Here is a 21,712-nt window from a genome sequence, read left to right on the forward strand (position 1 = left end):
CTTAAAAATGGTTAAAATGGTAAATTTTGTTACATATATTTTAACATAATTTAAAATAATGCCTTGACATCTTGTAGTTTCTAATTAACTTTCTGTTTACAGTAGATCCTCAAATCAGTATTTATCAATCATTATTTCTTTAGGGTTGCTTGAGATATGATATTAATGCATCATTCATAATAGTCACAGAATGGTTCTTGCATAATAAAGATATCTCTATATTAAAAGATTAAGCAACTATCATCTTCCAATAAATTATGTAGCTCAGAGGCAGAAAAGTAATAACCAAGACTTTAATATTTCAAAAGGGAAAATAACTTGAAAAGCAGAAATACACTGTAAATTAATGTCAAACTATTTTGCCAGGGAGGCAGTTATAAATAAAAATGCAAAACAAGCAGAAAGTTTACCCTGCATTATGGAGCCAGACAATACAGTCCTTTCTTTGAGGTCAGAATGAGGACTCCCCCTGGGTAATGCTCGGCATATCAGCCCTTCCAAAACAAGAAAGCAATTCAATTATTCAACATAATGTATATGTCAACTCACATATACTGAATGCTGTTCTTAAAGTCTATGTTTTTGATAAATGCTCTATGAAGGAAGGAATGTCAATTTAAGTTTGTGAACTATCCAGAAGTACCTAATATGACATCACACAGTCCTTTGTAAATATTTTCCTAAATAAAAAATGGCCACCAAAGGCATCTAATGAAAGGTTGAAAAGGAAAGATACCTTCAAAGTTAAATCTAAAATCCCAACACTTCTTTATCAAGAGGAAAGAAGATACAGGATTGGAAACCATTGCTTAGCTTTGAAATATACTTGTGATAAAGGGAAAACGGGAAATATGGATACCATAAAAATAGGGAAAATGTATTAAATGAAACATGCAAATTGAAACGAAAGAGTTGTAAATAACCTCCTAAGAAGCTTCACATTATTGTTGCTGATAAATATAAATCAAGGGTTAGAAATAACCACACATATTTACAGTAAAAGTGTGTGTTTTTAACATAGAGAAAAATACAGCTCTTAGAAAATTACACAGGACTTACCCTGCTTTTAGTATTTCATCTAGCTTAAAATTGGTTGAGGCAGGTTAAGATTTAAACAAAGTGGGCCATTAACAAAACAAAATCATACTGATCATGTACTGAAGCCATATCACATGAGCAGCACCAGTTCAGACACCTGCCTCTAACCCTCACACAGTGTTAGGTACGATCCCTTAATTTACAGAGGAAGAAACAGGCTCAAAGGAATTTTACCAGGGAAGGGTGAAGCTGAAATTTAAATTCATGTCTTTATCCATTACACCACTTTATCTGTCTCACAATTCAAAAAGAAGTTCTCATAATAAACTTTACCTTTTTTAACTCACTTAGCTGAAACAGGAATAATCTGCAAATTGTATGAGCATTCAAATATGAACATTCTAATAGTAACCTATGATATGACCAATTACGCTTAAATTTGACTTCCTTCCATTGTTATGTGCCACTTTATATACAGATATAAACTTAATATAAATATATATTTCAGGTGGAAATGACAGAAATTGCATACAACTTAATATAAATATACATTTCAGGTGGAAATGACAGAAATTGCATACAACTTAATTCAACAATGCAAAATTACTATATAAAATAACATGTATCAAAATAACATTCTGAAAACAATGCTTTACCCTCTAACGGTGCTGATACAGGAGACTCCCTCATTGACATCCCTTGCTTTATATTTCCTTCCACTGATTCATAGCTTCTCTTTAAACTGATTTCATGAGCTGTTCTTGGACTCCTAGTCCCTTCTCGGGCATTCTTAATATCTACAGAATACACAAACAAGACTTGCTCAGACGGAGCACATGGTATACAATGTACAGTAAATAGGTTAGTTTCATAGTCTATCTTATAAAAATAATAATATTAAAACTTGTCTTAACCTACAATAAAATATGTGTAGATGATTCATGAAAATATTTTCACTCATTCAAATGTGTTTATTGATGCCTACTGTGTGCTAGGCATAAGCTAGGCTTGCAGGTAAGATTAACAAATTAAGTCCCTTTCTGCATGAAACTTACACAATAATGTAGGTACAGATTATGTAGTAAAATAAGCTATGAAAGGAGAAGTATAATGTGCTATGAAAATGCTAGGAGAGAAACCTAACACCTCCAGGTTCAGATAAGCCTGCTCAGAGGAAGCAATGTGTAAGCTGAGAATGAAGGATGAATAAGAGTTGTTCAAGTCAAAGGTAATAGGAGGAAAAAGTACAGGCAGTGTGAACAGTGAACACGAAGACCCCAAGGTGAGACAGAGAAAGGTACAATAAAAGAACGTAAGCGTGGTAACCGGCTAATGTGTAGAGTGGAGTTGGGAGGAAGAGTGTGGGGGAGGTAAATATAGGGGACTAAAGGGAAAAGTGAGAAGGGAAAAATGTGAAGAGCTAAGCTGAAAGCAGCTCCTGGAGGGGTTATAAAGCTAAGGTAGGGGTTTGCAGTTATATCCAGGGTGATGGAAAAATCAGTCAAGGAGTGACGTGGTACACACTTTGAATATGGGTGAGACTGAAGGTAGGGAGATGAGTTAGGTGGCTGCTGGGTTAAAGATGATGGTGACAGTGGTGAATACAGAGTAATGGATGGATTCTAGACACTTTAGGAAAATAAACAGAAATGGCTTAGTGATTTGGTGGATGTGGAAAGAAACAGAGGTGTGTAGACTTCTGATATGGACAACGTACATTATTAATTTCTTAACCCCAAAAACAAAATGTGAATCATAATATGCCAGACGTGTAAAGGAGAGTGAAATAAGAATGCTATCAAGCATTTTGCAGCATCTGGCACTATGTACGCACATACTTTATTTCTTTGTATTGGAAGAGAAAGCATAGCTCATGACTACTCCAAGGTCACAGAGTCAGGTGCAAATAAGAACTCAAATTCACTCAAAACTTTGGCTAATATTTCTATCACATTTGAGTCATTCTTATAAAATACTACTACTGAGAAAATATAACAAGAATACATCTAAAAAAATGTACATAGACATTAAAATAGTTTTATTAAGGAGTATTTAATATTATCAAGATTATCAGAATATTATCTACCTTCTAATTCTTTTTGTTTGTTTGTTTGAGACAGACTCTCGCTCTGTCGCCCAGGCTGGAGTGCAGTGGCCCAATCTCAGCTCACTGCAAGTTCTGCCTCCCGGGTTCACGCCATTCTCCTGGCTCAGCCTCCCGAGTAGCTGGGACTACAGGCGCCCGCCACCATGCCCGGCTAATTTTTTGGTATTTTTAGTAGAGACAGGGTTTCACCGTGTTAGCCAGGATGGTCTCGATCTCCTGACCTTGTGATCCGCCTGCCTCGGCCTCCCAAAGTACTGGGATTAGATAGTAGATAGGCGTGAACCACCGCGCCCAGCCTATCTACCCTCTAATTCTTAATTCATAAAACATGAATCTCTTCAAAATAAAAGTATTCCATTAAAGTTCAACAAAGGCTCTTTACCTAAGCTAAACTGACTGACCACAGTCGACAATCTTAGCTACCACCTATGGGACATTTAATATGAGCTCTGCGTTGTTAATTACTTTTTATCGACTAAGCTGTTATTCACAAAATTCTCATGAGACAAGTATTACTAACCCCATTTACTGAGAGAAAACATAGGCTCAGCAAAGATAAACTGACTCCCAGAGAGCAGAAATGCGGGAAAACCCAAGCCTATGTTTTTAGCACATATTGTAATACTGGCTTTGGTGCATACATACAATACTTACTATCATATGACAAGATATGTCCACTTTTGCCTTCATAAATAACATGGCCTTTGGATGCAGCTTCCTCTCTGCCTTTCTCAGGACTGCTGTCTTCAATGGGCATTCTCGAAATGGACCCCTTCACCAAAGCCTCTGTTGGTATGCCAGTCTGGGGCAGAGCCGGGGTGCCCTGCCATCAAATCAAGCATAAATAGCAGAGGAGTCACTCGAGTTTAGGGAAAACACAAGATGCTCAGAAAATTTAACCTATGACAGAGTCAGGCTAATCTATAGCTTCAAAGAAGAAAGCACACATACATGAAAGGAAATTAGACATTGAATTTTTATCAACATGAAGACATCCTGTACCTTCATCCTTCAACTCAGCCACATAACACTTAAAATTATGACACGTACATTAGGTGAATCAACTTTGCTCTCACCTTCATGTGAGGACTCTATTACAGGATTTAACTCTCAGAAGTTTCTCTTAAGGACTAAAATCAAGTAAATGTAACAGCTTTTATTAGGTTGTTGCAAATGTAATTGCAGTTTTTGCGTTGTTGAAATTTGCCGTTTGATACTGGAATACATTCTTAAATAAATGTGGTTAAGTTCTTGTTTTCTTCTGAATGTAGTTACGCAATATATCATTTTAATGTGCATTTGTCACTTTTTTTGTTAATGACTTATTACTTGGTGTTTTATATTTATTTTAGACGATGAAAATTATGTTATACAAAAAGCAAATTCAAGTGATTTTCTTATTCAAGTTCAAAATGGGTTGTAAAGCAGCAGAGACAATTCATAACATCAACAACGCATTTGGCCCAGGAACTGTTAACAAGCATACAGTGCAGTGGTGGTTCAAGAAGTTTTACAAAGGAAACAAGAGCCTTGAAGATGAGGAGCATAGTGGCCGGCCATCGGAAGTTGACAACAACCAATTGAGAGCAATCATTGATGCTGATCCTCTTACAACTACACGAGAAGTTGCCAAAGAACTCAACGTCAACCATTCTACGGTTGTTTGGCATTTGAAGCAAACTGGAAAGGTGAAAAAGCTCAGTAAATGGGTGCCCCATGAGCTGAGCGAAAATTTTAAAAACTGTCTTTCTGAAGTGTCTTCTCTTATTCTAGGCAACAACAAACCATTTCTCAACTGGATCATGACATCCGATGAAAAGTAGATTTTATACAAAAACTAGCGACAACCACCTCAGTGGCTGGACTGAGAAGCAGCTCCAAAACACTTCCCAAAGCCAAACTTGCACCAAAAAAAGGTGGTCTGCTGCCAGTCTGAGCCACTACAGCTTTCCGAATCCCGGCAAAACCATTACATATGACAAGTATGCTCAGCAAATGAATGAGATGCACTGAAAACTGCAATGCCTGCAGCCAGCACTGGTCAACAGAAATAGCCCAATTCTCCACGACAACACCTGTGTCACACAACCAATGCTTCAAAAATTGAATGAATTGGGCTATGAAGTTTTGCCTCATCTGCCACATTCACCTGACCTCTCTCTCTACCACTTATTCAAGCATCTCGACAACTTTATGCAGGGAAAATTCTTCCACAAGCAGCAGAATGCTTTCCATGGCTGGCTGTGGTGGCTTGCGCCTGTAATCCCAGCACTGTGGGAGGCCAAGACGGGCGGATCACCTGAAGCCAGGGGTTCAAGACCAGCCTGGCCAACATGGCGAAACCCCATCTCTACTAAAAATACAAAAATTAGCCAGGCACGGCTGCGCACACCTGTAATTCCAGCTACTTGGGTGGCTGAGGTAGGAGAATCACTTGAACCCTGGAGGCAGAGGTTGCAGTGAGCTGAGATGGCACCACTGCACTCCATGCTCCAGCCTGGGCAACAGAGCAAGACTCTGTCAAAAAAGCAAGCAAGCAAAAAGGAAGGAAAGGAAAGGTAAGGAAAGGGAAGGAGAGGAGAGGGGAGGAGAGGGGAGGAGAGGGGAGGAGAGGGGAGGAGAGGGGAGGAGAGGGGAGGGGGGGAGGAGGGGGAGGAGAGGGGAGGAGAGGATAGGGGAGGGGAGGAGAGGGGGGAGGGGAGGGGGAGGGGAGAAGGGAGGGAAAAGAAAAGGAAGGGAGGAAGGGAGGAAGGGAAAAGAAAAGAGAAAAGAAAAGAGAAAGAAAATGCTTTCTAAGAGTTTGTTGAATCTCGAAGCATGTATTTTTATGCTACAGGAATGAACAAGATTATTTCTCACTGGCAAAAATGTGTTGATTGTAATGGTTCCTATTTTGATAAAGATGCGTTTGAGCCTAGTTATAATGATTTAAAATTCACAGTCCGAAATCACATCTTTGCACCAACCTAATATAAATTTTCTAATAAAAATAAGATGATAAAGTAGTTTTAAATTTAGAGTACTACAACTTTTTCTCAAATTGTGATATGAGGGAAAAATAACTTTCAAATATCAAACTGACTACTAGGTTGTTAGGCCTTTGGATGCCTCTGTGTTTTGACACTGATTCAGTTTAGGTCAGGTTATCTATATTTTCACCATCATCAATCCTCCTCTGGAGTTGCCAATGACCATGATTCTTTTTACCCTTCCTTTAAGCAGCGAGCCCTTCCTTCAAGGAAAATTGTTCATAGAATCTAATACGTAGAGCATTTTGCAAGAGAGAGCAGCTTGGTGTAAAATAGGAGTTAGAGGCCTAGACTGAGTTTACTCACATTTAGGGTCACCACTATACTCTGAGGACTGCTAAAACCCTAGAGAGCACAATCTGATACCATATGCTTAAGAAAAGCGATAAGAGACATACACTTACTTGTCCAGTCATTAAGTGAACTCATTAGTAAGTGTCTAGAAATCCTTAACGCCCACTTCAGAAGTACTCATGTCAAGTGCACAAACAGATTTTAAACAGATAAAATTTAGTCTCCTTTGGCCCAGTTCATACTCTTTCTTCCCACAGTTTGGATGCCAGAGTGAAGAGAAAGAATAATACATACAGGCCCATTTACTTTCCTCTGTCCATATTAAAGTATTAGCTTGCTGTTAAAACAGAAACACACTGACCCAATATAAATGGAGACTTTTTTTTTTTTTGAGACGGAGTCTCACTCTGCCACCCAGGCTGGAGTGCAGTGGCACAATCTCAGCTCACTGCAACCTCCGCCTCCCAGGTTCAAGTGATTCTCTTGCCTCAGCCTCCTGAGTAGCTGGGATTACAGGCGCACACCACTATGCCCGCCTAATTTTTGTATTTTTAGTAGAGACGGGGTTTCACCATGTTGGTCAGGCTGGTCTCAAACTCCTGACCTCGTGATCCGCTCTCCTTGGCCTCCCAAAGTGCTGGGATTACAGGCGTGAGCCACCGCGCCTGGCCTAAAAAGAGAGATTTTAAGAGTCAGTATGTAACTTTCTTTTCTTCTGTTTTTAACTTAACCACAAGGAAGTAGTATGTAAACTACATTTCAGAAAGAAATCACCTGGGAACCTCAGTAAAATGGGGATTTTAATTCACATGATCTAGAGTGCGGACTGACATTTCTGCATTATTCTAGCAAGCATCCCAGTGATGCCAATGCTCTGGTGCACAAACCACACTTGGCCAGCAAAGCCCTAGCTGAATCAGCTAAGGGCTTGGGAAAACACAGACTGCCAGTCCCCACCAACAAGGGTTGGGTTTCAGTAAATCTGGGGTAAGATCTGAAAATTTATATGTGTAGCAATTTTCTAGGTGATTCTGATGCTCCTGGTGTGGGGATCATACTTTGAGAACAACTGTCTTAGAGGATAGTAACTAGACAAATAAAAAACTTGTGACAATGAGTGAACACTTTAGAAAATGCAAGGCACAGGTTTCTGTTTACAATGATTTCCCAAAACAGAATTTTCCCTCTTATGCATATACATAAAGAGGCTAAGAACTTCTTAAGTATCAAGTTAAAATTAACAACTAACTGAGAGAAATTTTATTAATCAAAATTGGTGATGTATTTAGCCCAAAATTGGAAGGCTTCTGGTGCTTTTGTTAATACCATCCACATTTCCTGGTTTAGCATTAGATTCTAACAAGGCAGCCCACATACTGAGATTCTACAACTACATCTCCACCAGGGCAAAAGTAAGCAAATAATTCGTAATGATTTTCTTCTCAATTTCTATTTAGGCTAAACACATGGTAAAAGCTTTTCCAGGAAGACAATAAGAGCTGCATCAATTAGAACATATTTCTTTTTCCAGTTTGCAAATAAGTGACCTTTTCAAATGAACCAAAGTATTCATAATATAGCTTGTAGTCAAAATGATCACATTAACGTCTCTGTGGAGACAGTTTGCAGATCTAGGTTATGAGACCCAGTCCCATAATGCAGAAAAATGAACTTAAGCCACAAAATAGCCAAAGTGCTAAGAATTATTTATCATTTTTTCCTGAGCTTCTGTTGAGTATATCAGAGATGATCGTGACTAACCTGAGTGATAGAGCCCCGTAGGGATGGAATGCTCTCCACTGAAATTTTGCTGGTTGGAGTTCCCCGAGTTATACTTCCTTCTTGTATGGCTCCTGCGGTACCTGAATACAAACAAAGCTATTAGCAAATTACACCCCCAGCCCCTGCCCCAAAACATAAAAAAACAGCCCCTACTTGGGAGAGTACTCAACTAAGAAGAAAAGAAAAAAGCAGCACAAAACCCATCATGTTTGTTTTATTAAAATGTACTTCCAAAATAATACTAAAGAACTGCTGAAACATGGAACTTCAAGGTTTTAAAATGACTTTTACATGGAAAGAAAACAAATTTAGAATTTAAAGACTATAGTTAAAAAAGCCCATCATTAAAATATATTAATAACTTACTTTAATAAATTTATTGGGGACAAAAGTTTAACATTTCTGCCAACCAGCATATTTTACCTCTGACTACACCTTCATGTTGGGCCCTGACCAACAGACCCTCAGGTTGTGAGTTTTGGCTTCGGGGAGAAAATTCTTCCTGCTTGATGTAGGGCAAAGTAGCTGTGGAAAGGCAGAGAAACATGAAACAATCCAGTACTAAATTACTGGCTGTGATGCTACAAACGTAGATGCATTATGACTGTATTAACTCACTGACCTGATTTGGCAGATTCCTGTTGCCGTGGCAGTCCAAGAGAGATAGATCCCACTGACGGCTTGGGTGTTTCTTGAGTGTAGGAAGCCTGATTATGAGAAGTCAAATAAGTGCCTGGTGTTCCCTAAGAAAAAAACAAAAAAAAATTTAAAGATTAAGCAAACATTGTTTTTTTCACAAGGTCAATTTCACAAAGTCAGCATTCCCATTTCTGTTTAAAAAAAAAAAAAATTATACCCCTTCTACCCAAAACCAAGAATAGTTTTTGTAAAGCAAGAAAATCTTCATCGTAGATTGCTTAAATATAAAAAAAATTTTAAAGGGAGTAGGATATGTCTTCTAAAATTACCATACATTACATGTAAATAGTATTTACTATTAATAAATTACATAAATAAAGCACTTATATGTTGCAATCAAAATGTAAGCTACTATTATTAATATTCATTCCGACTAAAAATGCTATGGAGAGTGGTATCAGCAAATACAGCAAAGTAATAAGGACTTCCAAAAACTCTCTTCCATAAAAGCAACAAGAAAACCTGGAAAAATTTTAAGAATCAACCTTTTTTTTTCTTTTCTTTTCTTTTGTTTTTTTTGTTTTCTTTTTGTTTTTTTTTTTGAGACAGAGATTTGCTCTATCACCCAGGCTGGAGTGCAGTGGAGCAATCTCGGCTCACTGCAACCTCCGCCTCCCAGTCTCAAGCAATGTAAGAATCGACTTTTAAAGAACCCTGGAAATTAACCAAAGGCTTGTAGAAATCTGGAAATATTTATTTAAAAAAAAAAAAAAAAGCTGAATCTAGGTAAAAACAGGTAAAAACAATGGGCTTTGTGGCATTTTAACTTGTTCCATTCTCATTCTCCTGATCAAACTCTATGGAAGTGTTGAAAACCAAAAGCACTCAATCATAGTGCAAACCTATGGTGGCTGCCTGGCAGCCACTAGAAGGGAAAGAGCAAGGATGGAGCTCCTTAAAAGCCTCATTCCCAGATAACTGTCATTGTTTGACTTCTCTGTTGGTTCTCTGGGAGACTCCATTCACAAAGCTGTCTTTATTTGACCTGACTGGAGTGGGAGAGGAGGTGCAGACTTGTCAAAAACAATCAGAGGCAACTGATTAACTTCTCCACTGCCTGAGACAGTAGATAACAGCCAGGGTAAACAACAGGCTAACCAAAACACTTAAAAGGAAAAGCCAGGGAATGAGATGTTCATGGGGTCTGAAAAACTCCAACATATTCCCTAGAACCTAGAATGCTACATGCATGTGCAAGGCTATGAATATGCCTAGGAAAGACATGGGAAGGCCCCACTGCTCTCAACTTAGGCTGCCCTTAAGGCTCTGCACGCCAGGAAGTAAAGACTAAGGCAAAGCTGTTAAGTGCCCAACACATAAAGAGCACCCCTCAGCAAAGGCTGATTTTACTGATTTTAGACATTTAAGGAAATGTCTGTCTAATCATTAGCTGATCACTAAGTTAATCAGACTTCAGTGGCTACACACAACAAATAATACAGACTTTACAGAATTAGTTAAGAAAAGTCACTAAGCAAATAATAACAGCCAAAAGAAACAACAAGCTCTGAAAAGAAAAGTGGGGGTGGGGGGGATCCAAGTTCCAGAGTTGCTACATTATACAAAATGTCCAGTTTTTGACCAAAAATTATAAGATACGCAAAGAAACATGAAAGTGTGAGCCATACATATGAAACAGAGCAGGGAACAGAAAATATTCCTGAGCTTTGGGCTCAGGAATAAAGACTTTAAATCAGCTATTATAAATGTATTCCAAGAACTAAAATAAACCATGTCTAAATTAAAGGAGGCCAGGTGCAGTGGCCTGCCTTCTTTAATCCTTACACTTTGGGAAACCCAGGCAGGAGGATCGCTTGAGGCCAAGAGTCTGAGACCAGCCTTAACAAGATATTAAGACTCTGTCTCTATAAAAAATAAAAAAAAAATTAAAAGCCAGGCATAGTGATGCATGCCTGTAGTTCCAGCTACTCAGGATGCTGAGGCAGGATTGACTGAGCCCAGGAGACTGATGCTACAGTGAGCTAAGATCATGCCACTGCACTCCAGCCTGAGCAACAGAATTGTTTTAGGAGAGAGAAAAAGAAAAAAAAAAAGAAGAAAGTACAAGAATGATACTTCACCAGATAGAGAACACCAACAAAGAGAAAGAAATCATTAAAAAGAACAAAATAGAAATTCTGGAGCTAAAAAAATATAAGAACTAGGGGTGGGGGTGGGTCTCAGCAAACTAAGAACGGAAGGAAACATCTTCAATCTGATGAAAGACATCCATGAAAAACTTAACATTCTGCCTAACAGTAAAATACTGAATGCCTTCCTTCTAAGATGAGCAACAAGAAATTCATGTCCATGTTCACCAATTCACTATTCAGTATTCCTGTATCAAGACCATCCTGGCCAACATGGTGAAACCCCGTCTCTACTAAAAATACAAAAAGATTAGCCAGACAGGGTGGCGTGCACCTGTAGTCCCAGCTACTTGGGAGGCTGAGGCTGGAGAATTGTTTGAAACTGGGAGGCGGAGGTTGCAGTGAGCCGAGATCGTGTCACTGCACTCCAGCCTGGGCAACAGAGCAAGACTCTGTCTCAAAAAAAGGAAAAAAAAAAAAATTCCTAGCCACTCGGAAGGCTGAGGTGGGAGGACTGCTTGAGCCCAGGAGTTGGAGGCTACAGTGAGCTATGATCACACTACTGCAAAGCAAGACTTTGTCCAAAAAAAAAAAACAAAAACAAAATTTAAAGGAATCAAATAGCCAAATATAAATCAAACAAAACACATACAAATCTCTAAAGTGAAAACTTTAAAGCGCTGCTGAGAGATATAGATATACAAGTTCATAGATTAGAAGATTCGATGTAAGATTTCCATTTCTACCTCAAATTGATCTATAGATTTAATACAATCCCAACAAAAATCCCAGCAGATGGGTGGTTCATGGTTTTTTTTTTTTTTTGGTCTTTTAAACCTTAAACTATAATTTGAAGCATTCTCAGATGTTTGGGGGGAAACATCCTCGTAAAATAGTTCCCTATGCTCGCCTTCTGGGGAGGCAGTGCTGAGCAGGTGAATCGTAAAGCATTTATGCATATGTTAAATGCTCACTGCACCCACCTCTTCCCCACAACCTTTGCCTCTTGGGTGGTTTGTGCTACTTTCCCCTTACTTTGCTACATTTCTACAGTTAAGTTGGTTTTACTTAAATGATTCATGTTTGGGGGGGGAAATAAACATCACCCTTAAAACATGTTTCAACTCCTGCAAATAAAATAAATGAAGTGGCGAAAGAAAAGAAAAAAAAAGAGAAGAGAAGAGATCCCAGCAGAATTTTTTTTCTTTAAGTAGACTGACAAACAGATTGTTTCTGCCTCTGCTGCTGCCAGGTGCCCATGAAAAAGTGGGGGCAAAAAAAGAAAAAAAGCAGGTTCTGAAGTATACCCTTGACTGGATCTACCCCGCAGATGATGCTGCCAATTGTGAGCAGTTTCTCCAAGACAGAATTAAAGTGAATGGAAAAGCTGGGAATCTTGGTGGAGGGGTAGTAACTATTGAAAGGAGCAAGAACACAAGCACCGTAACTTCTGAGGTGCCTTTTTCCAAAGGGTATTTGAAATAGCTCATCAAAAAATATCTGAAGAATAAGCTATGTGATTGGTCGTGCGTAGCTGCTAATAGCAAAGAGAATTTCGGATTGTGTTACTTCCAAATTAACCAGGACAAAGAGAAGGAAGATGAGGATTATAACTCATTTACCTGGAATGTTTTGTATGAGTTCTTGAATAAAACTTGGGAACCAAAAAAAGGGGGGAGACAGACATTGATAAGCTGATTATATAATTTATATGAAAATGCAAAAGACATCAAATAGTCAAAACAATCTTGAAAAACAAAAACACTGAAGACTTATACTACATGATTTCAGGACTTACAATAAAGCTACAGTAATCAAGACTGTGGTACTGACAAAACGATGAACAAGTAGATCAGTGGAACAGCATGGAGACAGTGCAGAAACAGACCCATATATACTGTCAAATGATTTCTAACAAAGGAACTGAAGCGATCAAATGAGTAAAAGACGTTTCAACTGGTGCTATTTTTCAACTAGAAATTTAAATAAAGATGAATGTTAATCCTGACCTCATACTATACACAAAAATTAATTTGAGACTGGTCACATGCCTCAATATAAAAGCCAAAATTATAAAGCTTTCAGAAGAAAACACAGGCGAATATCTCACAACCTTGGAGCAGGCCAAGATTTCTTAGCAAAATAAAACTAATCATAGGAGAAAAAAGTGTGTATATATATTTAGACTATATAAAAATTTGAAACTTCTCATCAAAATACCAGTAAGAAAATAAACAGACAAAAAACAGAGAAAATATTTGTAATACATATATCTAACAGAGAACTTTCAACCATAATAAAGATCTACAACACAGTATCAAAAAGACCCAGTAGAAACAGATAATCAGACTTAAATAGTCACTTCATAGGTGTACAAATGGCCAATAAGCACATGAAAAGTGCCCAACATTGTTTGTTTTCAGGGAAATGTAAAATACAACCACAATAAGATATTACTACACACCAAGTATGACTAAAATGACCAAGACTTGACAACAGCAAATGGAGCAATCACGTCTCATACATTGCTAGTGGCAGCATAAAATTGTAGAACCATTCTGGAAAAGTATAAAACATACACAAACCTAGTAATTCCACTCCCAGGTAATTGTACAAGAAAAATAAAAACATATGTCCACAAAGAACCCATTACAAGAATGACCAGCTTTATTCATAGCTGCCAAAAACTGGAAATAGCTCAGGTTTTCATCAACAGGAGAATGGATAAACAAACTGGTATTACTCAGCAATAAAAAGGAAGAAACTACTGATTACATAAAACCCTGGATGAATTCCCTAAAACCATTATGCTGGGTTAAAGAAGACAGACACAAAAGAGTACACCATGTTTGATTCCATTCACAGGAAGTTCTAGAAAAGGCAAAACTAATCTACAACAACAGGAAATCAAATAGTGGTTGCTTCAGGCAGTGGAAGGGGAGATGGCCTGGGAAGGAACATGAGAAAACTTTCTGAAGTGATGGAAGTGTTCAATAAGTTGACAGGGGTGTGACCACTGATGTACAGTTAGTCAAAACTGATGGAACTGTGAAGACCAGACCATATCTCAATTTTTTAAAAAGTAATGAACCAGAAAAAAGATTTAGTGGCCAAAGTCAGAATAAATTATAATACTAACCACCTACAATTTAATATTTTGAGCCTTTACCATATGTTAGTGAACAAATATTCTACTGTTTGAAACTAAGTTTAAAACTTGGTAAGTTTAGAGTGATGTAAATTAAACCAAGTGGTATGCCAAGTGCCAAGTGTAATTAAATGGGTGGTATGTTATGACCACTCAATCTGGGTACATAACTCACTGAAAGTTCTGATTTGTGGCAAGAGTACAGTGACTGCTGCATCTTCTGGTCATTATCTCTTGAAACTTCATATTCAGACAGATTATTATTTATTACAACTCTGACAAATCAGTGCGAGGAGGGAGGACAAGTTTTAACAAAGCCATATTCAACAAGAAATCTACTGTAAAGAGAAGTCGTTTCACCTGTGAGATGGAGCCTCCCATTATAAAAGATGGTTTTTCTGAAGCCACTGTGGTTTTGGATGACGGGATGAGAGGGGGCGGTGGCCTGGTTGGTCGAGTTGTCGGAAGCCGAACGCCTTCAGGGAGATTAGTTATCACTTGATGTGGAGCAGGCTGAAGGACTTTTAAAAGGAAAGAAAAATGATTTTAAACTAGTCCATTTCCTAGTTTACAACATGTTACCTCTCTCAGTCATTCCTGAATTTTTAAATCACTAATTAAAAAATGTAAGATGAAACCAACAATGAACATTTCTATTTTAAATTTCTCATTCACGTAAGCCTGTATACATATTTGTCACAAATACTATTTGTGGGGTTGAAATATTCAACTCCCTTTCAAACCACAGCTTTCAAGCTGATGCTTATTTCAAACTTCTGCTTAGCATAGCAAACATCAGTCTTCAAAAATTTTTTCTCTCTCGCCAATCACTCTTAGGGTACTTCTTAAAAACAGCTGATAACACTACTTCAGAGAATGCGCAGACATGACTGACAACCAGTTATACATCCTTTTTGCATCTTGCATATTGAGAAACACTTACTGATTCTGGCTCTCACAGAACACTTGAATTTTGGGGATGGGGAGATCTCAAGACTTTTACAAATTCATGTACTCTTCTTAAAGGAAGAGCCAGTCAATGTCACAGTATAAATGTGTGAACACAAATTTCCCAGTGGCCCAGTGAACTCAACTAAATACAACTGATGATGGAACGCAGAGAAACAAAGTCATTCTGAAACAGCAAGGACACGTCCTGGAAGAGCAGTTCATTCACGAGATTAAACCACCCACGTGGAACATCTGTGGGTGGATGGCCAGCAGCCACTGCACAGAGGAGTGATATTTACCTGGCGGGACACTATAGCGGGCTGCACTCATATCAGGCTGTGGAGCGGCTTTACTGACTTCTCTTGGAGAAAGCCTACACGGTGAGGCTGACCTTGCTGCAGTATTGTGCATCTGTGCTTCCTGTTCTAGAGCACGTTTGACCTCAGCATAAGGCATATAGGCGACTGATTTTCCTATGAAAGTTAAAGTTATCAAAATAAGGGAAGAACCCCAAATTAAAATAGTAAGTGTGAAAGGACCAAGCCCACACCATCCAGGGGCTGATCCGACTATAACATTAAAGTCTAAAACTCCTGGGGGCAAAATTCACCCACAGAGAAGTTAAGAAATCCTGTAAATCTAAATCTCCTGTGTATCCTCAAAAATTCATTTACGAGTTTTCCCTTTAAAGGAAAAAGAACTTCTCTTTCCTCTTAAGGAGAATCAAGTGTTTTCACATGCAATAAAATCACAACAGGCAAACATCAGATTATCAAGCAATTCTGTTAATTCAAATCTGGCCTGACTGGAGGTTATTAGCTTTGCGAGGATTTCACAAGTCTTATAATTAGCCTGTTGAAGCTCACTCCTTGCTAATATTCACAGAAATATATTTAATTAAGAAATGGAAGAAGCCTTTCAAAAGATGCAGATCAAACTAATTCAAAAATCCTACATAAGCTTATAAAAACCATGAATATAACTACAATAATACTAATGAAAATTACTTCTCATGTAAGTTATCTCCACATAAAGCATAAAGAAACTTTAAATATTTTAAAGGGCACGCCAGAAATGCAGTCATATTTAAGACTTTAAAATATATAGTTTCTTTTTAAAATGAAACATCTGTAATTTTTGAAAATCAAAAAAGCACAAAGTAAAACTCATTTGTAACCCTGACCACTTAGATTTGTAGCATTTTAATGTCTGTCAGAATAAATTCCCACTCATTTTATTTATTATTTTCATTACCTAGTTGTATCCATTTATCTTTCCAAGTAAATCTAAATTTAAAATCATTGAGTACTTCCTCTCAAAACAAAGAATAAATAGAATTTTCATTAGACTTGTATTAAATTTATGAATAAACAGGTGATGATATTTTATAATAATGAGTTTTCTAGTTGAGAAATCTTGTTTTTGTCAGATAGTTCCATCCCTTGCTTGTTAAAAATTATTCCTAGATATGTCATATTGGTAAGAAAACCATCTCTTTTATATATATGAGTTTATATAAATAAACCTGATTACTGCAGACATACAGGAAAGATGCGGATTTCTGTGTAATAATTTTTTCTGAAAAACCTAATGAACTTTCCTTTTAGCTCTAATAACTTTTCAGTTGATTCTTTTAGGCTTTCTAGGTGAATAATCTTATCCTGTAAATAATTTGTCTTTTCCCTTCAAATACCTAAACCTCTTATTTCCTTACTACACTATCTTTTGTAAGGTGCTTTTAAAAATCAGAAACAATTACAAAAATATCAACTGATATTCAAGTGCTAGGCAGTGTGCATTACATACAATATCTATTTAGCCCTCAAGACCAATGTGATTATTAATACCATTTTACAGATGAGGAAACTGAGGCTCAGAAAAATCACATCTAATTGCCCAATCAAGGTCTACCAGCGATTTTTTTAAAAGCAGTATAATTCCGGACCGTTAGCTCTAAACCACAGTGCAATAGTGTCTCACTAAAGGACTGGGTGTGGAATTTCAGATGTCTCTGGTGTATCCATCAAGACGATGGTACTTTTTCCTTCTTTGACATATTAATATAATGAATTAGAGTAAGTGTCCTAATACTGAGAAAACAGATTTATGAAATAACCAACTCCAAAAGAAAATCACTTTCCTAGATAATTTAATATGATAATGTATTAAAAATCCAATGTCTGATTATTTTACCATTTCCAGTAAGTTTATAACTATGTTTAAAAAAAAAAATCCACTGGTCATAGTAGTGGTTTTTTTTTTTTTTTAAATGATGGAAATTGGATGGTTCTAAACACAGCTATCTACATCACCATGTACCCAGAGCAGGAAAAGAAAAACAGCAACAGCAACAAAATAAACATGCAACAAACTAGGGTCAGTTACATAGAAGCATTAACTCTTATTTTAATTGGATAATTTTGTTAAATTTGCATTAGAAGTTCAATTCTAACTCTACCTCCATATGCTTAAGTTTGAGTTCCTTCACTGTAGAAAAGAGGCTTAAAAGTTATCAGTAAAGCAGAGGTCAACTCGTATAAATGTTACTGGTAAGTGAAAACAATTCTCTAAGGTTTTTTTTCAACCTTTTCTACAGATGGGAAAAGCTTTAAGCAACTTAAAACAGGCATACCTACAGTAATTATTTATACCATTCACATTAAGAGAAATAAATACAACCAAATAGTTGGACAACAAGTGCTGCCTGTTACTTGCTAAAAGAGACCATGAAGGGAAAAGTAAAAACCATGGCCCTAATTCAGGTGGACTGTACCAATATTTGGTGATACTTTATACATAAATCCATACTATCACTATTCTTCACATTCTATAAACTGTTCTATGAGGTTAAATTTAAACCATTTTTGTCAAACATTCTAGACACAAGCATCTTAACTGCAAACATTTAAATGTTATTTGAAAGGTTATCCTATACACTGAACTACAGGATAGACTCAAGGAAAAACTTCTGGTACTTGTTAAACAAATTACAGGATGAATACACTAGGGAGATTAGCTAAAACAAAACAACCTTTGGATAAACTTGCCCTACTTTGTAGAGCATCACCTTCGACCAAACTGTAAAATTCTTAATGTCATACTAATCAAAAGTATAATTACAATTTGATTTTAAGATGACTGAATTATGATTAAAAATTAGGATACCACTGAGATCTAAACCACGTGTAGTAATGTGACTAACACAGAGAAATACAATTCACAGTTTGGAGTCTCAGAATTTGGGGCTCCAGCCTGGTTCAGTTTCTTCAGTTCCCAAATACAACTCATTTTATAAAGCAGACCAATAAAAGATATTGAGGCTTTAAAATTATGATATCCATATTTAAATGACCCAGATATTACTAACAATGATGTTATGCCTTGTCATAAGTTCAACAAATGATACCATCTGAATGTCATTTTTCTAACTTTTACTACTTCTTCACAAAATCTATCCTAAATAATAAATGTAAGGAATACATCCAGAGACTTTTATTCTCTAAAGTTTCATTTTCCACTGACGGATTTCCTCATAATTCGAATGTTCAAAAGACAAACACCTGCGATGTCCATTAATACCCTGTAGTGAAACACGATAAGGATATCTCCATTATGTCATTCATTTATAATTCATTCCTTTAAGGTGTAATTACTGAGTACATGTTGTGTCAATTACAGAACTAGCGATTAAGAATTCCCTAGACCCAACAGAGTAAAAGCCTAAAAGTTATCAATATTTCTACCTTCATTCAAGGAAATATTCATTTAGCGCCTTTTATATTCCTTGGTGGATATTATCATTCTGGTTCACATTTTTCCTAGCACAAGATTTATGTTTAAAAATTAACAAGTTTAAATTTAAAACTCTAACATAAGAGGTTCAGTGTATTAGGCAACTAATAACTCAATATTGGTGTGATCTGGGCAGAGTCAGCAGGATCAGTTAAGTACCACAGTTCCTATTTTATATTAAATAACCCTTGGAATGCATGGCATTGTAAAGCTAATAGCTCTTATTTAGCTAAATAAAGTACTGTAAAGAATCTTCTGAATCATTCAGACTATTTCAGTATTCTGATATTCTAAGCATATCGTAGCATATAAGTAGACTATAAACTCATTCTTAACCAGAAACATGTGCCAATTCTTCTAACCATGTCAGAAGAATGTATTAAAACATAAAAACCACCCCTTTCTTCTTTTTTTAAAGAAAGTAAAAGTGTATCACACACCAACTAAAACAGCAACGGACCAACTCAAATCCATCACTTGAAATAAAAACAGTGATGTAACAATGAAAACAGGTACCTCCATAGTATCTACTGTGTATATACAGTACTAATACACTAATTAATATGTAATAACGTGCTACATTATACATAAAATAATGCAGAGCCACCTGTTATATAACAATACCGAATGCTCCTTCCTTAACTTTACAACCACAGCAAGGTAGACGTGTACTATTATTTTCATTTTACAGATGAGAAAACTAAAGCTATGAAAGGTTAAGTGACTTGCCTGTGGCCACACAGCTGGCAAATGCCAAGGTGAAGGCTTAGCCAGCGTCTGATTGGAAATATCCACTACACAAAGTTGTGTCTCTCATCTACCAGAGAATGTGAATATTACACTGTAATACTTGAAGGTGATTTGCTTCAAGGACAGGACAACAATTCTCACTCTGAAAATTCAGATGAACGGAACATAAAGCATAACTTTATTTATAATGTCTTCCAGCACAAAGATGAATATCAGAAAATTCACATTAACTAGAATGCTATTAAAAATGTTACTGGCATCCTTTAGTAGTTAATAATACTAACATTTCTTCATAGTTTAAGGTCAATTTAAGGAACTGTGTCTGTTAGGACAAATATAATAATCAGTTGGGAGGCTGACAACTTACAAAGCACAATGGACACTGCTTTTGGGTTTAGCTTTATTTCCCTTCATAAAAGTTCTCTTGGTGATAGCTCTATCTACCTACCTTCCCACTCTCTGTTTGGACTCTTGGATGTGCCACATGGACTTGTAGAACTTCTACATTCCAAATCTATCTGTTCTTGTCTCTGCCGCTGCTCCTCCAGGAGTGCTGACTCATGCATTGCTTTAATGTGTCGCTGGTAGAGAGCATAGCCGCTCACTGGGGTTCCAATTGGTATGTTACATGGGGTGCAGGATACCTATAGGAAGAAAATAAATCGAAATATGCAAACAACCAATGTAATAATTGCCATCTCTTAACAAGTAATGTAATGCTTATTTCTGTCATGTTATTGGTTGAATTGATTTTATCATTTTTTAATCAAAGTTATCTTCAAGAATAATGCTTAAGGCATTGCAGTGGCTCATGCCTGTAATCCCATCACTTTGGGAGGCCGAGGCAGGCAGATCACCTGAGGTCGGGAGTTCAAGACCAGCCTGGCTGGTATTTTGTATCTTTGTACCAAAAATACAAAAATTTAGCTGGGTGCAGTGAGGCATGCCTGTAGTCCCAGCTACTCGGGAGGCTGACACATGAGAATCACTTGAGCCTGGGAGGCAGAGGTTGCAGTGGGCTGAGATTGCACCACTGCACTCCAGCCTGGGCAACACAGCAAGACCTAGTTTTCTTTCAGAACTGATCACAATATAAATCACACAAGCTGTAATAACAGAAATCAAAAATCAGAAATTACAACACATCTGTCTGATTCTAATTTATGGCAGCCAAGTCCCTTGTGGCCCTAGGTCCCATCCCTCATCTCTCTTTCACCAGGGATCAGATCCATTTATATATATATATATATATATATATATATATATATATATATATATATATTTTTTTTTTTTTTTTTTTTTAAGACATAGTCTCACTCTGTTGCCCAGGCTGCAGTGCAATGGTGCAATCTTGGCTCGCTGCAACGTCCACCTCCCGGGTTCAAGCAATTATCCTGCCTCAGCCTCCCAAGTAGCTGGGATTACAGGTGTGCACCACCACACCCAACTAATTTTTCTATTTTTTTTTTAGTAGCGAAGGGGTTTCGCCATGTTGGCCAGGCTGGTCTCGAACTCCTGGCCTCAAGTGATCCACTCACCTCAGCCTCCCGAAATGCTGGAATTACAGGTATGAGCCACCGTGCCTGGCAGATCACATCCATTTATGTTGATTTAAATGTCATCCATTTGTTAATGATTCACAAATTTTCTACTTCCTCAAGACACTTTCTCCAAGTTCCACACTTACATAAAATGGCCTACCTAACAACTCCACTTGGGATATCTCAAGGAAGCTCAGAACTTATGTTAAAGGGAACTTCCCATTTTTGAAACTCCATTCTTCTTCAGTTGCTCTCCATTTTAGACATGGAACCCCAGGTGCTTCAGCCAGAAACCTGGCAGCCATCCTTGACTAATTAATCTCCTCCTCTCCCACAACCAACTCATTCACATAGCCATTCCCTTAGGATAGAAATGGACTGTTCCTTAAGATAGGCCATCCATAACCATCCAATAAAACATGGTGATACCCTCCCTGTTTTCCTTCTCATTGAGGCCTGTTCACTGCTTTCACAGTACACAGTATTTGCCA

At 37.3% G+C, this 21,712-nt stretch overlaps 1 protein-coding gene and 1 pseudogene across 53 annotated transcripts in view; one reads left to right on the forward strand and one right to left on the reverse strand.

The window, feature by feature from the left end:
• Positions 1-21,712, reverse strand: part of NCOR1 (nuclear receptor corepressor 1) — a 186,378-nt gene that overhangs the window by 42,578 nt on the left and 122,088 nt on the right. For 27 of the 53 annotated variants that reach the window (NM_006311.4, XM_011524086.4, NM_001439115.1 and 24 more), the window contains 8 exons: positions 20,129-20,324; positions 14,548-14,708; positions 8,873-8,993; positions 8,674-8,775; positions 8,230-8,330; positions 3,800-3,968; positions 1,695-1,835; positions 411-494 (listed from right to left, as the gene is read on the reverse strand). In NM_006311.4, the coding sequence (NP_006302.2) occupies positions 411-494; positions 1,695-1,835; positions 3,800-3,968; positions 8,230-8,330; positions 8,674-8,775; positions 8,873-8,993; positions 14,548-14,708; positions 20,129-20,324 (1,075 nt within the window). Of the gene's footprint in view, positions 1-410; positions 495-1,694; positions 1,836-3,799; positions 3,969-8,229; positions 8,331-8,673; positions 8,776-8,872; positions 8,994-14,547; positions 14,709-15,437; positions 15,612-19,829; positions 20,325-21,712 lie in introns of those variants that run through there. The other 26 variants (NM_001439111.1, XM_047437122.1, XM_005256871.6 and 23 more) reach the window with 2 other exon arrangements.
• On the forward strand, positions 12,270-12,707 carry RPL22P21 (ribosomal protein L22 pseudogene 21; annotated as a pseudogene).

Source organism: Homo sapiens, chromosome 17, assembly GCF_000001405.40.
Source record: "Homo sapiens chromosome 17, GRCh38.p14 Primary Assembly".
Lineage (NCBI taxonomy): Eukaryota > Metazoa > Chordata > Mammalia > Primates > Hominidae > Homo > Homo sapiens.